At 52.6% G+C, this 15,345-nt stretch overlaps 2 protein-coding genes across 7 annotated transcripts in view, besides 3 other annotated features; one reads left to right on the forward strand and one right to left on the reverse strand.

Moving 5' to 3' along the window:
* DRC1 (dynein regulatory complex subunit 1) overlaps positions 1-10,447 on the forward strand; it is a 54,792-nt gene extending 44,345 nt beyond the window's left edge. For both annotated transcript variants that reach the window (NM_145038.5, XM_047446339.1), the window contains 7 exons: positions 2,427-2,539; positions 3,732-3,821; positions 4,328-4,417; positions 7,056-7,285; positions 8,383-8,526; positions 8,867-8,969; positions 10,197-10,447. In NM_145038.5, coding sequence (NP_659475.2) covers positions 2,427-2,539; positions 3,732-3,821; positions 4,328-4,417; positions 7,056-7,285; positions 8,383-8,526; positions 8,867-8,969; positions 10,197-10,253 — 827 coding nt within the window. In that variant the 3' untranslated portion in view covers positions 10,254-10,447. The remainder of the gene's footprint in view (positions 1-2,426; positions 2,540-3,731; positions 3,822-4,327; positions 4,418-7,055; positions 7,286-8,382; positions 8,527-8,866; positions 8,970-10,196) is intronic.
* OTOF (otoferlin) overlaps positions 10,939-15,345 on the reverse strand; it is a 101,554-nt gene continuing 97,147 nt past the window's right edge. For 3 of the 5 annotated variants that reach the window (NM_194248.3, NM_004802.4, NM_194322.3), the window contains 4 exons: positions 14,588-14,766; positions 14,383-14,483; positions 13,744-13,941; positions 10,939-11,956 (listed from right to left, as the gene is read on the reverse strand). In NM_194248.3, coding sequence (NP_919224.1) covers positions 13,761-13,941; positions 14,383-14,483; positions 14,588-14,766 — 461 coding nt within the window. In that variant the 3' untranslated portion in view covers positions 10,939-11,956; positions 13,744-13,760. The remainder of the gene's footprint in view (positions 11,957-13,743; positions 13,942-14,382; positions 14,484-14,587; positions 14,767-15,345) is intronic. The other 2 variants (NM_001287489.2, NM_194323.3) reach the window with 1 other exon arrangement.
* Positions 11,368-11,938: an enhancer, noted in NCBI's record as "H3K4me1 hESC enhancer chr2:26680500-26681070 (GRCh37/hg19 assembly coordinates)". NCBI's record gives its function as "activates a minimal SCP1, AML or CMV promoter by ChIP-STARR-seq in primed H9 embryonic stem cells {active_cell/tissue: H9 hESC(primed)}" and the evidence as "EXISTENCE:reporter gene assay evidence [ECO:0000049][PMID:30033119]".
* Positions 11,939-12,508: an enhancer, noted in NCBI's record as "H3K4me1 hESC enhancer chr2:26681071-26681640 (GRCh37/hg19 assembly coordinates)". NCBI's record gives its function as "activates a minimal SCP1, AML or CMV promoter by ChIP-STARR-seq in primed H9 embryonic stem cells {active_cell/tissue: H9 hESC(primed)}" and the evidence as "EXISTENCE:reporter gene assay evidence [ECO:0000049][PMID:30033119]".
* Positions 14,197-14,902: an enhancer, noted in NCBI's record as "H3K4me1 hESC enhancer chr2:26683329-26684034 (GRCh37/hg19 assembly coordinates)". NCBI's record gives its function as "activates a minimal SCP1, AML or CMV promoter by ChIP-STARR-seq in naive H9 embryonic stem cells {active_cell/tissue: H9 hESC(naive)}" and the evidence as "EXISTENCE:reporter gene assay evidence [ECO:0000049][PMID:30033119]".

Genomic DNA, 15,345 nt, shown 5'->3' on the forward strand with positions numbered 1-15,345 from the left:
TTTTGTATTTTTTTGTAGAGACATGGATTTGCCATGTTGCCCAGGCTGGTCTCAAATCCTGGGCTCAAGCGATTCCTTCCCAGAGTGCTGGGATTACAGGCTTGTGTCACCATGCATGCCCAGGGAATGGTATTTAGAAACCACGCTGTGGGCGCTGGGTGCTTATTGTTTTGGATTGGCCATTGTTTCTAGGCCTTTTCAGTGGACAGAGCTGAGAGTATAGGATTTCTTTTTTTTGGTAATAAAATAAATCATGAGTTCATTCTAATACCTCCTCATCAACAGGATGCCAGGATTTTTATTTAACAGTATCAAAGTGTATCCCCTTTCTTCCAACTTTAAAATCTTAGTGCTCAGTGACTTCAAAATAATGAATCACATGCCTTCCCCACAGCACCACAGAACTGCCTCAGAGGAAAATATCAGCCCTGCCACCAACAAATGATTACTAAAGACAGTTTACACTGTTTTATGGTTCCTTTTATTCTTAAAATGTGTCCCTCCAGGGATGTACAGACAGATTGCTATATTTTAAAGTCACCTGGAGCCAGGTGCGATGGCTCACCCCTGTAATCCCAGCACTTTGGGAGGCCAAGGCGCGCAGATCACCTGAGGTCAGGAATTCGAGACCAGCCTGGCCAACATGGCGAAAACCTGTCTCTACTAAAAATACAAAAAATTAGCCGGTCATGGCGTGCGCCTGTAATCCCAGCTACTCAGGAGGCTGAGGCAGGAGAATCGCTTGAACCCGGGAGGTGGAGGTTGTAGTGAGCCAAGATTGCACCACTGCACTCCAGGATGAGCAACAGAGTGAGCCTCTTTCTCAAAAAAATAAAAAATAATAAAAATTAAAAAAAAAATAAAAATAGGCCGGGTGCGGTGGCTCATGCCTGTCATCCCAGCACTTTGGGAGGCCAAGATGGGCGGATCATGAGGTCAGGAGTTTGAGACCAGCCTGACCAACATGGTGAAACCCTGTCTCTACTAAAAATACAAAAATTAGCCGGGCATGGTGGCGCGCGGCTGTAATTCCAGCTACTCAGGAGGCTGAGGCAGGAGAATCACTTGAACCCGGGAGGTGGAGGTTGCAGTCAGCCGAGATTATGCCACTGCACTGCAGCCTGGGTGACAGAGCGAGACTCTGTCTCAATAAATAAACAAATAAATAAAAATAAATGCACTTGGAATAGTTTCTGTGTGGTTATATCACCAGCTTGATACACATATAGGTATTTTTGTTTCGTTTTGCTTTTGATTATTAGGGAATGGTTTTTTACAATTTAATTATGTTTTTTGTTCGTTTGTTTTATTTTTGTCTTTTTGAGACAGTCTCACTCTGTTGCCCAGGCTGGAGTGCAGTGGTGCAGTCTTGGCTCACTGCAACCTCCACCTCCTGGGTTCAAGCGATTCTCCTGCCTCAGCCTCCTGAGTAGCTGGGATTACAGGTGCGTGCCACCATGCCCAGCTAATTTTTGTATTTTTAGTAGAGACGGGGTTTTGCCATGTTGGCCAGGCTGGTCTCAAACTCCTGACCTCAAGTGATCCACCTGCCTCAGCCTCCCAAAGTGCTGGGATTACAGGCATGAGCCACCACGCCTGGCCTAAGAAGTTAATTTTAATTAAGAAAATTTTTGGCTCTTGCTGTCAGCTGTCAGTTCTTGCTGTTAATATTTCTCTGGACCAGGCGCCGTGGCTCATGCCTGTAATCTCAGCACTTTGGGAGGCCGAGGCAGGCAGATCACTTGAGTTCAGGAGTTCGAGACCAGCCTGGCCAATGTGGCAAAACCCCATCTCTACGAAAAACACAGAAATTAGCCAGGTGTCGCGGTGGGTGTCTGTAATCCCAGCTACTTGGGAGGCTGAGGGAGGAGAATCACTTGAACCCAGGAGGCGGAGGTTGCAGTGAGCTGAGATCACACCACTGCACTCCAGCCTGGGTGACAGAGCAAGACTCCATCTCAAAAAAAAAAAAAAAAAATTATCTGTGAATGTGCAAAGCCACCTGCCCCTGCTTTGAGTTGGCTGCTTCTGTCTAATCTGTTGCAGGTTTAGAGACTATATAGCCACTTGCTAGATCATCTCTGAAATAAGAATAAATGGGCTCACACTCTCCCTCCCACTTCCTGGTTCATGGCTGGATTTTGAGTATGATGTTTCCAGGTAGACGCAATTTGGAAAAGTAGGGCATTACAGGCTGGCTGGGAATGGCCGAGTTCTCCAGGTAGTCTCTGATTCCGACCCCCTAGCCCGCCTTCCCGCCACGTAATAGGCTTTTTTCATCATAAAGAGACTGAGAGAATGCCTCACAGAGGCTTTTTAAGAGGTACATTTTCTCAAGGAAAGCCATCTGACTGTTTCTCAGAGTCAACTAGCTCCAGAAATTATCTTCTTTTTCTTTCTCTCTCCTCCCCATGACCCAACTGCAGAAGAGGAGGAGGCAGAAGAGGCCGCCGCGGAACCAGAGTCCTACCTGGATTTGCCGAAGCAAATTTCTGAAAAAACTACCAAGAGGATCCTGATGCTCCTGTGTGACGAGTCGGTGAGGCCAGGCGGGGGCTGCAGCAGAGGGACTCACGGGGGTGTGCAGGTTCTGAGGCCTCTGCTGGGCCAGTGCTAGCCTGGAGTCAGGAGTGGGCCAGTCCTCCCCTGGCCAAGCCCAGGGTTGGGCCCTGAGGAGCAGAGTCAGGATGGCCCCTGGACTTCAGGGCCGGTTCATAGAGGCCTTGCCTCTGAGCTGGCCCAGCTGGAAAATGGGTCTAACCTTGGTTGGCCAGCATGGCATAGTTTAGGCCAGCTGGAGGGCTCCTGCCAGCTTAAAATGATGCTGCTTCTGAGACAGAAGTTGCACCAGCTCACCTCCATGAACCAACTTGCTAAGTGATGTGGCCACACTGACATGGCCCTTCTCAGGGGCTTGTTTTGGGGGTGACTCTGGCTATGTTGGGATTTGGATGTCTGCATTGTATGTTAGCAAACATGATTAGCCTTAGAATAAAAGCTGCATTGAGCTGGTTCAGCTGGAGGTTGGGTTGTGGTCAAACATGGGCAGTGTTTGTTTGGATCTTACGGTTCTGAAGTGGGTATTCTTTTAGGATAGTGAGGGCAGTTGCCTTTGGCTGGCTCTTGCCACTGAGGGCAGCTGCTGCTGAAGGGGTCAGGTGGCAGGTTCTGCCCTCTGAACCTGCAGCTGGATGCAGAGGCCACCTCCCCATGGAGCTCTCCCCCAGGCATCCCAGCTCAGAGCGGGCACCGCATCTGCTCAGCCGCCCTCTCCCTTCCACCGCATGTGTGCTGTGTTTTGGTTTGGGGTGCCCACTGCTTTCCATGCCTCCCTGTCCTGCTGCTGTGTTCTGTAGATATTTGGGGACAAGACTATGGGTGAAGCAGGAGCCTGTGACTGGGTCAGCTTTGGACTGTGGTGGGGGCCTCAGGAGTTTGCCTAGTGGCTTGTGGGTGAGGTGGGTTGGTGCCCTTCTGGGTGGGAAAAGCTAAGTCTGTGGTGAGGATGGGCTTTGTCCCTGGCCTTGCTTGTCTCTGGCCTTGCTCCCTGGGGAGGGGGGCGTTCATGGGCACCCCAAGAAGGCTTTGCTGGGGCCCACTGCTGGCTCCCATCCCTGGGCGTCTGCTCCGTGGCATGGTCCCTGGAGTGTTACACAGGGGGCAGCTGCAGACCCTGGGACTCGCTCCTGAAACCTGTCCCCGACAGGAGATGCCTTCTTCCTTCTCCCCAGGGGTTCCTCATAGAGAGCAAGCTGCTGAGCCTTCTCCTGCCCCTGGAGCAGAATGAATGCTATCTGCTGAGGCTGGATGCCATCTTCTCCGTGAGTCCAACGGGGCTGGGAGGACACGGGTGGGGCTGCAGCCGGCCGTGTTCTCAGATGGCCCTGCCATTGCCTCAACCCTGGCAGTGGACGAGGGTCTCCCGGGGCTTCCCCTGCTCCCTGTCACATCCTTCCCTTAACCTACTCTCCACACAACACATTGGTCTCAGACTCACTGCAGTGTCTCCCACCCCTGCCTCTTCCTCTACTAGCATCTTCCTCTCAGGTTGTAGGTTCTCCCTGACACCCCCAAACTCAAATCTGGTGCAGCCCCACTAGGCATCCTCACAGCCATGGGATCCATATGGAGCAGCTCCTGGCTCTATGAGCATTGTTTCCGTGTGTTCTGATGTGTGTGTCCCCAAGTTCACAGTCGCTTCCCAGCGTTGGATGAATGCCCTCCACAAGCCAAGCCTCCCGCTCTTAGGAGCTGAGCATCTGTCAGCTGCCCAAGCCCGTGGCCTCTTGATGGGGTGTTTGAGCAACCATCCTGTTTTTCGCCCCAGGCCCTTGGAATTGAAAGTGAGGATGACTTGTATAAACTGGTGAACTTCTTCCTTAAATATCGAGCTCACCGTTTATCTTCCAGCCTCCAGGTAAGGCAAGGTGCAGAGAGAAGAAAGCATTTTCTTTCTTTCTTATTTATTTATTTATTTTATTATACTTTAAGTTCTGGGTTACATGTGCAGAACATGCAGGTTTGTTACATAGGTATACATGTGCTCTGGTGGTTTGCTGCACCCATCAACCCATCACCTACATTAGGTATTTCTCCTAATGTTATCCCTCCCCTAGCCCCCACCCCCCGACAGGCCCCGGTGTGTTATGTTTCCCTCCCTGTGTCCATGTGTTCTCATTGTTCAACTCCCATTTATGAGTGAGAACATGCGGTGTTTGGTTTTCTGATCTTGTGATCGTTTGCTGGGAATGATGGTTTCCAGCTTCATCCATGTCCCTGCATTTTCAATTGTCCCGAAGCCCCCAGAGCACAGTGCTGTCTTTGAGTAGCACTTCTGGAGAAATAGCGGGGCTTTTATGTCAGGTATAGCTAACTTAGCATTTCCCTTATTGTTTATCAATTTGTCTCTTTGTAAAGGGAAGAATGGCTTGGGGGTGAGATGCTGTTCTTATACTGAGGCCCAAGCAATCTTTTCCTGCACCCTCCCTCAAAACCAGGTCTCAGCCACTGTGAGACCAGAGCCCACCAGGTTCTGAATATTTTGATCCTTAACACTTTCCCGCAAGGCAAGGCCCATTTGTCCTACATATCTTGATTGTAATTGATTTCAGAAGGTGAATCAAATATTAACTATTTTAAAGAAGATGCCATATTAAAAGTCATATAACATTTTAATTTAAAAATGAAAAATGTGAATGAAAAATGTTTTTAGTACTGCTAGCCCAAAGCTGAGTATCCTGACATGCCTGTAAAAAGAGTTGGCTGGGCTAGGCACAGTGGCTCATGCCTATAGTTCCAGCTACTTGGGAGGCTCAGTTTAGCCCAGAAGGTTGAGGCTGCAGTGAGCCATGATGAGGTTGAGGCTGCAGTGAGCCATGATTTCACCACTGCATTTCAGCCTGGGTGACAGAGTGTGAGACACTGTCTCTAAGGGAAAAAAAAGAGAAAAGAAAAAAAGAGCTGGCAGAAATGGACAAAACCACAAAGCCATAAAGGGAATAAAAGCTATATTTGACTACAGAATTTAAAAACAATTCTGTAGTGCAAAAATCATGATAAGCAAAGTTAAGAGATGAATGACAAGCTGCAGAGAAATATTTTCAACTCATATCATAGTTAAGGCATTTCCTTAATATATAAAGAGCTCTCTGAAATCAATAAGAAAAAGACCAACAAAAGGAACAGATAACAAATATGAATGAACAACTCCTAGAAGAGGCAATACAGGTAACTCTTAAACATATGAAAAGACAATCAGCCTTCCTTGTAATAAGAGAAATGCAAATTAAAATGGCTGATTTCCATTTTGCCAACCTGTTATGTTGGCGCAAAAAAAAAAAAAGCTTGATAACACAGCAAGTATAACATAGCGATGACTGAGGTGTAGAAAACAGGCACACTCATAAGTTACTGGTAGGAGTATAAATTGTAACCTCCATTGAGGACAGTTTGGCAGTATCAATTACAAAACTATATACATTTTACTCTGAAATTCTTCTTCTTTTTTTTGAGACAGAGTCTCACTCTGTTGCCCAGGCTGGAGTGCAGTGGCACGATCTCGGCTCACTACAACCTCCATCTCCCAGGTTCAAGCCATTCTCCTGCCTCAGCCTCCTGAGTAGCTGGGATTGATTACAGGCACCTGCCACCACGCCCGGCTAATTTTTGTATTTTTAGTAGAGATGTGGTTTCACCATGTTGGCCAGGCTGCTCTCGAACTCCTGACCTCAAATGATCTGCCCACCTTGGCCTCTGAAATTCTTCTTCTAGGATTTTATTCTCTAAATATATCTCATTACAGTTGAAATGGTGTATTTATTGTAGCTGATTCACTGTACATTGTTTGAAATGGCAGAAGATTCGAAACAACCTATATGTCCATTGTTGAGGAATCTATTTAATAATATATGGTATGTCTACACGATGGGGTACTATAAAACTGTGGGAAAAAACCAAAGTTCTTTATGTATTCACATGAAAAGGTACCTAAGGTTTATTGGTAAGTGTAAAAGCAAACTACAGAACTCTATTTGTAGTATAGTATCATTGATGTCAAAACGAGAAGGAGGAGTATATATGGAAAGGTATGCGCATGTATTTATATATAAACATTATATAGACATACTATTTCCTTGGAAGGAACCATAGGAAACTTGATAGCATTCGTTTGCCTGTGGGAGGTCAATTGCATGAACTGCAAAATAGGAGTAGGAGGAAGACCTTTTAAATTTAACAATTAAAGCAAAAATTTAATCTGTATTATGATTCAAAAGAAGATTTCTAACATGTAAGCTTTATGAATGTCAGTAAGGTGAGCACCTAGGAGCCCGGATTTAGAAACAGAACCTTTCCATTTTCTCGTAGCCTCCTAGTGCCTCTCCCCATCCCATCCCCCTTCTTCCCACTCTTTCTCCTGTTTCTGTCCCTGTGTAAATGTCTCCCTGGGCAAGCTGTCACTTTCTGTAAACTTTTCTGGTTTTTCTTCTTCCTGCCTCTCTCTCCATGCTCATGCTCGTGTGTCCCCAGCCCACAGTTGTCCGTGCATCTTTCTCCAGATCAAGCCCTGCAGTCAGGCGAGCATGGAGAAGGCGAGCATGGAGGAGACAAGCACGAGGTCAGAATTGGAGCTGGCAGAGCAGACGGAGATGGAGGGAGAAAAGGAAGAAAGCCTGGTGGAAGGGGAGAAGGAGGAAGAGGAGGAGACCCCACCCTCCCCCTGGGTCATCCACCCCAATGATGTCCTCAAGATTCTGGAGGCCTTCGTCATGGGTCTGAAGAAGCCTAGGTGGGCTGCGGGGCTGGAAGGCTTGCCTGAGACCAGAACCAGGGGAGCTGGATGGGCTGGGGAGCCAGGCAGAGCCAGTGAGTGGAGAAGAGTCTGCTGGGCAAGATGCGGGGACTAAGGACAGGGCTATCTGAAGGCGGGCTGGGGCAACCAATCGCTGGACAGTCAGGAAAGCAATAGGGCATAGTGGTGATCTGTGCTTTTTTCACTCATCATTCATTCAGCAGACATGCACTGAAGGCTGCCATGTGTAAGCACTGTGGGGGCACTGCCTTGTGATCAGAGTAATGGTCAAAGCACATTCAAGGTGCACCATTGTTCAGAGGAGGAAGTGGCCGTTTCCATTTGGCATGTCAGAGGGTTTTGGGAGGAAATGGCACTGGAACTAGGTGTTCCCAGGCAGATAAAATGGAGGTAAGGGCATTTCAGGAAATGACAGCATGGGGAAGGTCTGGTCTGTTCAAGAATCATCACAGGAGGTCTGGCTGGAGTGTCAAGGGCCTGGGAGGTGGCACTGGTGGGTGGGGAGCTAGCCAGGTCTTGGAGAGCCTTGCCCAATGTGCCCAAGATCTTTGTCTTTACCCGTTGGTGGGTGGGAGCCAGAAAAGGATTTGAAGCAGCCGAAGAGCCATGATTAGCCTTGCGTTTTAGAGAGATCATTGTGGCGTCAGGGAAGGGGCGAAGCTGGATACAGGGAAAGCATCAGGAGGCTTGTCCAGGTGGGAGGTGAGGATCCCCCAGATTAAGGCTGTCATGAGGGGATGGAGAGGACATGACTGAATTCAAGTGCTGTTTTGGATGTGTTGGTGCAAGAGATGGGCACAGTGATGAGCTGTAAAGCCAGTGAGGTAAACTGATTGGGAGAGAGAGGGGTGGATGAAGCACGGATTATGCCCTCACGAAGGTACCGGTGGTACCGAGGCAGGAACGTTGACAATAAGCATGCGTCCTTTCTGAGAACCTGCCACCGTCTAATAAACTTGGACTGCTGAGTGGGAAGGTGACAGGTGGGAAAGCAGTAGGCCTGTGACTGGCACTGCCTGGGGGCCTGGGTAGTACCCAATGGACATGACAATCACTGTGCTCTTGGCCTTCAGGGACTCGCGGGCCCCGCTGAGGGTACAGAAGAATGTGCGTGACAACTCCAAGGACTCGGAGTACTGGCAGGCCCTGACCACAGTGATCCCTTCCTCCAAGCAGAACCTCTGGGATGCCCTCTACACAGCCTTGGAGAAGTACCAGTAAGTGTGCATGTCATGGAGCAGGAGGGTGCTGGCGGGCAGGTGAGGAACGGTTGTTGGGAGCAGCCGCGTTTGCTGCCTCCCTGTCCCACTGAACCTGGGAGGGAAGAGCTGCCCTTGGCATCTCCTGTGTGGGTGGATCATGTGGGGCAGTTGGCTCTTGGGCCCTGGCCTGCCTGTTCTGTTCCTGCTAACCTGGCTCACCTGGCGGCTGGGTGAAGAGTGTAGCTTCTGGAGTCTCCCTCCACCTGTAGCCAAAGTACAACCACCAAGACCCTGGCCCCTACTTGGCAGAGGATGGAGGATTCAGTGAGCCTCTAACCGATTTTTCTGTCCAAAGCCTTGTCCTGACCCAGAGGGCCAAGCTGCTGCTGGAAAACAGTTCTCTGGAGCAGCAGAACACAGAGCTGCAGGCGCTACTGCAGCAGTATCTGAACTCCAAGGTGGGCGGCGGGGCCTTCCAAGGAGGGGCAGCGGGAGACACGGGTGGGGCAGGGGCACTGGAGCTGGGATTAGGGAACGAGGAGTCCCCTCCCCGTCAGAGGCAAGGGAGCTTTGTGATATGATGTAAAAAATCAAGAGTGGCACCTTGAGACAACTACTGGCCAAAGGAGTAGATCTTGCCTGAAGTCTCCTCCAGGACAGCTCAGGTGTGACAGTGTCTCTTTGATACTGTGGTTTCTGGTGCCAGTGGCCAGCTGGGACTGCTCTGTGTGAAGCAGTGCCACAGCCAGGAGCAGCTCCCCAGCTACAGAGCCTCCAGCTGTGCTCTCTTCTTCCATCCTCACACCCGCTGTGTGAGGTGGACAGGGCGGAAACAATGCTCCTCATTTCACACAAAGGACAATCACAACTTGCAGAGTTTGCAACTCGTCCAGAGCCTGGGCTCTTTCCACCCACCAGCCCCGGTTCCCTGCCTGGGATATGACTGGAGGGTCATCCTCGCATGGGGAAGGAGGCTCTGCTGGGGCAGATATTCCCTGGCCCCCATCTGTGCCCAACCCTGCAATAGTTGTGGACAACTTCCCCATGGCCTGGCAAGAGGAGGAAGGAAAAAGTCCATTGCTGACATTTCCTGCTCTGCGGGTGTGGGCACCTGCAGCTGGGGCTGTAGGCCAGGAAGGTCGTGACGCAGCTGTTAGTTGCACACGTGTGAGGTGACTGAGGCCAGCTCCAAGTCCAGCCACAGGGGCTGCGTGGCCCCAGCACAGTCCCAGGTCCCAGGCCACAGCTGAAAGTGGGATGTTGTAGTGAACCTTGGCCTCATAATGACCCTTGGCCTGTGACAGGACCCAGACATTCTGGACGGTATGGTTCCCGCTTCCACAGATGCTACTGTATACAAGAGGCTGGGGGAGGAAGAGGTGGGGCAGGCTAGATTGGGGATGGCATGGGTGCGTGGAGAGAGGAGAGGGGAAGACTGCAGAGAATGGACGGGCGGGAGATGAAGAACGCTACCAGAGGTCACAGCTGGAGCAGAAGCTGAGCAAGAAGGCTCAGGCGTGTCTCCTGCAGGGAGGCAGTCTGTGGGTGTTCAGCATCTCTCAGCTTTGGAGAGGAGATGCGTGCAGGGCTTTGGAGGCCCATGGGAGAGCCAGCGTGGCTCGCAAGGGTGGCAAAGAAGGAGGGCCCTGGGAAAAATGTAACGACTTTCACCCTTTCTTTTCCAGATCAACTCTGAACTGCAAGTTCCTCCCACTCAGGTGTTGCGGGTACCCACAAAATGAGCTGGACCGCCAAAGGCTGATGTGTTAGGGCTGGCCTGATGCTGGTGTCTGTGCCGGAGCCAGCTCATATCACCCACTGGGCCGCACCTGGGCCTGCTCTCTGGATTTTCCAGGGCTGTCTTTATAGCCTGTCGAAATAAGGAGCCAGAGGAGTTACCTGTGTCCTGCATTATGATTAAAGCCTTTTAAAGTTGTGGCTGAATCTCTTTAAAGAGGTCAGGTCTAGCAAGACCAGGCCCTTGCCCCTACCTCTGTGTCATGAGGGGACTTTGCCCCAGGCTCAGATAGTGGTGTGAGTCAGAGGCCGAGGCCAGTAGCGTGGGGCTCCTTTCTTGCTTTCAGGGGAACTGGTTTCTGTGGGTGGAGGCTAGAGCTTTTGGGCCCTTGTGGGGCCTTAAGCCTTCAGACTGGCCCCAGACCTGAAGGATTCTTTCGGTGCTTTGGGGGCCCCTGGGCCCAGGCTGGTGTGCCCTTTGGGCTATGGTGTAAGACTCCTCCTGTGGGCAGCCTGGGTGGGCAGCCCTGTGCCTGAGGCCTGCCTTGAACCCTGGGCCACCAGAGGCCACTTGAAGGGGAAAGGCCATGGGAGCCCTGCTGGTACTGAATCTGCCAGCCTAGAGAACTGCTGCCTCTGCCCCGCACCTGCGGCTGCTCCTCTCAGCTTGACCAGTGCAGACCTGTCAGCTCAGTGCTTGACTTCTTTTATTTAGAGAAAAATCACCACTCAAGAAAAGAAAAACAGCCAACAGAAACCCAGACACAGGCAGGGGCAGCACTTGACGGGCCAGCTCCCAGCTGCAGCTGAAAGGGCTGGAAGGGCAAGGGGGCAGGGGTGGGAGGACAGGGTGTGCCCGGGATGGGGAGTCCCCTCTGCTGCTTCTCACAGCTCCTCAGCTGGGCCTGGAGGCGCTGGCTGGGGCAGAGGGAGCTCTGGGAAGCCATGGAAACCCACAGGCAGGACAGGCGACCCCCTGGGAAGTGAGAGGAGCCAAGTGGAGCCCAGCAGTGGCAGAAGCAGCCGCGCTGGGACTTGTGGGCAGGGTCTGGCCCCTGCTGCGGATCAAAGACCGGTGCTATCTGCAGGGGTCACGGCGGGGATACCTTTTGCTCGTTCATTCTTTTTAAAGCCCTGGGCACTGACCCATGGTCCTTGGTTAATTTCACTAAAGCTTCAATCCTGTACTTGGAAGACCTGGGGAGGGTTTCAGGAGTCTTCCTCTGGAGCCTGGGCCTGAAGAAGGGTGGCGCCTCAGCCAGGTGGGGCAAGAGAGACCCATTCCAGGTCCCCACCCCATCCAAGGCTCCCCAGCCCACAGGCAGGGGTCAGAGGGGCGGGACTGGGCAAGCCGCAGCCTGGGGCAGTGAGGACAGGCGGCCCCCGCAAGCAGGAGGCAGGCTCGGCCCAAGGCATGAAGAGTGGACGCTGGGCTCCTCAGGCTCCCCAGGGGAGATGGGAAAGAGTCCAAGCCACTGAAAGGAAATGCGGCAGGGCTGGGGAGCGGCTGGCGGGAGCTGGCGGCCTTCATGCCCCAAGGAGCTTTTTGACCATGTAGCCAGGGAGGCTGTAGAGGAAGAGCCCCAACATGAGCAGCCCCAACAGCGCCAGCACGATCTTGATGATGAGCCACTTGTACCGGGTGCAGATGAGGTACTTGATGGACTTGAGAGGGTTGAGGAACCAGACGAAGGCCGTGTCGGGCCGGCTGGGAAGTGGAAGAGAGGAGCCGGTCAGCCAGTGGGCAGGAGCTGCCTCCCAGTGCACCCCATCCTCTGTCCTTCTGGACCCCCAAAAGCCCTGCCATGGCCCCAGCCCCAAAAGCAGTGAATGCTGGAGCCAGGGTTTAAACCCATTTCTAAGTACCCGACTTGCTGCTTACAAAACTCTATCCTCCCTGCAGCACCTTTGGGGCCCGAATCTCCTCCTAAGGCCTAGATGGGAGCTACTTGCAGCATGGGGCAGCCTTGGCCCTGCAGGCAGTTCTCATCGTTAGGAAGCTCCTGCGGTTAGCTCGTTCTATGTGCTGCCCCACGTCCTTGGTAAGACTGGTGCTTCACAACCTCTTCCTTTCTGATGGACATAAATGGCTGTTCCCACCGGGCCCTGCTGAGGGTCTGAGCAGCCCCTGTGGGGTGCAAGCTGCCCTCACCGACCTGCCCACTCTCAGGATGAAGACCCACTCCACCTTCTGTAGAGCCTCCCAGCCGAGAAGCACCTGGCCAGCCTCACTATCTGTCGTTTGTGTTATAAAAACAATAGGTTTTGTAAAATGTCAAGATACAAGTGAAAGTACTGCATATGCATTTTCAAACTACTGCCTCCCAGAGGACATGGCGTGCAGCCCCAGAGCTGAGCTCAGTATTGGTGGGGACACAGAGCCGGGGCTTGGGTGCAGGGCACCTGGTTTTGAATGGTTTTCACAGGCAAGTGAGGCACCTCTATCAACCTCGGTTTCTTCATGTATAAAATGGGGTTACAAGCAGTACCTACCTCCTGGGTTTGGCGCAATGGCACAGTGAGCCAGTGCCTGGGGAGCTCTGAGCACCTGCAGTTGGGTGTTCAGGCCATGGTGGCTATGAAATGTTTGAGTTGAATGGAATTATTATCCTGAAGGGCAGAAAACAACAGCCCTGGACTGGGAGGTCACACACGGGTGAGAGCCATTTCCAGACCTGTTGGCTAACCCTGGCCACACCCTTCCCTTTTCCCTGTCCATAGCTCAGCTTCTTTCTGCCAATGAAATTGGGTTAGAGTCGGCTGGGCGCGGTGGCTCACGCCTGTAATCCCAGCACTTTGGGAGGCCGAGATGGGCGGATCACGAGGTCAGGAGATCGAGACCATCCTGGCTAACACAGTGAAACCCCGTCTCTACTAAAAATACAAAAAATTATCCAGGCGTGGTGGCGGGTGCCTGTAGTCCCAGCTACTCAGGAGGCTGAGGCAGGAGAATGGCGTGAACCCGGGAGGCGGAGCTGGCAGTGAGCCAAGATTGTGCCACTGCACTCTAGCCTGGGCGACAGAGCGAGACTCTGTCTCCAAAAAAAAAAAAAAAAAAAAAAAATTGGGTTACAGTCTGGGAGAAACATGGCTGGGAGCAGAGGTGGTGTGCAAAGAACACAGGATTGGAAATTTGGAAACCTTGGCTTGAGTCCCGGCTCTACCCTAATTTGCTGGGTAACCTTGAGCAAGCTACTTCACCTCTTTGGCTTAATGTGGAAAAGTGTAAAATAGTCATTTCTAGTTCTGAGAGTCTATTCTGTCATGAAAGCTTGAAAGTTGCTGTGCATGTTTGTGTGGGCTTAAGTGTGTGCCTGTGTGTGCTTGAGTGCATGTGTATGCACTTGTGCGTGGCACATGTGTGCATACATGCTTGTGTGTGTTTGTGTGCACATGTATGCATATTTGTGTTTGTGGATGTGTGCGTGTATATGTGTGTGTGTGCACGCGCCTGCCTAGCCCTTGGTCCAGAGGAAGAAGTAAGAAATATCAGACCCAGGAGGCCACTGGGCTCAGGCCCCGAGGATTTTCTTGACCAGGTAGCCAGGCACAGAGTAGAGGAACAGGGCGAGGAGGAGGAGCAGCAGCAGGAGCAGCAACAGTTTGAGGAGCAGCCAGCGATACGTGTGCCACAAGAAGTAGCGAGCCGACTTGAGAGGGTTCAGGAACCAGATGAAGCTCGTGTCGGGCCGGCTGGAGTATGAAGGGTAGAGAGCGCAGAGGAGGGACAGGGAGGAGAAGGGATTGGGTGTGGCGAGGGGCCAAGACCAAGAGGGAAGCTGTCCTGGGCTGTGTGTGCAGTTCTAGGCACCCCTCTGGCCATCAAGGCTGGCCATGGCCCCAGAGGCCACCACTGGAGCTGGCTCTTCTGCAAAAGCTAGGAAGGGAAGAGCATAGTTTCTCTCCGCTAGATGGGGCCTTTCCCAGGGAAGGTCCTGCTCTCCAGTATTCCTAGCCCATCCTCTGGTTCAAAGGGACGTTGTGGGATTCAGGGTTGGCAGAGGGCAGGGAGGAGGCTCCCCTGTAATGAGGCTGTGGCCCAGGAAGAGATGGGGTGTCTGGGGATCGTCTCCTTCCTGTTCCAGCGCCTCCAAGAGCCAGAGTGGGGAGGGGCTGGGCCGGCAGGGCACTCACTTGGGTTTCTCTAGGGGGTCAGGTTCATTGCGGGCCAGGCCCACTGGGTTCTTCTCTGCCTCCTCTGCTGTCAGTAAATGCAGCTCAGCCTCCACCTTGCCCTGCAGAGGACAGACAGGTCCCAGCGTCCAGGCTGCGTGCTGGGCCCTTGGCACCCCAGCCAGTCCCAGCCCTGCCTACTGCCCGAGCAGGAAGGGGTGCGCACCGTGAGCTCAAACTCATCGTTCTCATTGCGGGCCAGGAGGGGCCACCAGCCTTTGACGCGCTTTTGCTTGAAGATGGACACGAGGGGCACGTCCACCTCCCCGGTGGCCATCTCCATGGTGCACTGCTTGGCTGTCTTTGCGCCCCGCGGGAACCGGTTCAGGTCCAGCTCGATGGCCCCTGTGGCAACCTCAGTGTCAGCTCAGAGTGAACAGGGCTGGGGTGGGGCGGGGTGGGGGTGGGGGTCTGGGCTCCTCGGCCCCTTGTTTGCTGAGTGCAGACCTCCCTGAGCCCACATCTCATCCTCCTGCCTCACTCCCAGCAACTGGCCTCAATGCAGGCATCCTCGTGGGCTTGCTAGGCAGCCCCAGCCCCCATGCTTTACTCAGGTCCTTCTTTCACCCCAGAGGGTCTCTCCTGGGGTCTCCCCTGCCACTCCCTGCCATGCATCCATTCTGTCAAAGTCCTGCTAATCCCACAAGCTTTTGCAGATGCAGATTAGAGTTTTAGGGAGAATCCCTGCTTTACAGAGAAGCAACCTGAGGCCCAGGGAGGTTTCCCGACTCCCTTAGGGAGCCTCTCCCCTCCCCCATCATCACTGACTGCCCCCTCCTTGGTGTGTCCAAAGCTTGTTGTCAGCCTGGTTATGACACTGAGAACATCTGCCTAGGGACGGTTAGGTGGGTCCTTGGGGGCGGAACCCCGTCGGACACCCCTGGCTCTGATGGACTGGAAGCAATGACCCCTTGTCCCCCCAAG

The sequence above is a fragment of the Homo sapiens genome, chromosome 2 (genome assembly GCF_000001405.40).
Source record: "Homo sapiens chromosome 2, GRCh38.p14 Primary Assembly".
Classification (NCBI taxonomy): domain Eukaryota; kingdom Metazoa; phylum Chordata; class Mammalia; order Primates; family Hominidae; genus Homo; species Homo sapiens.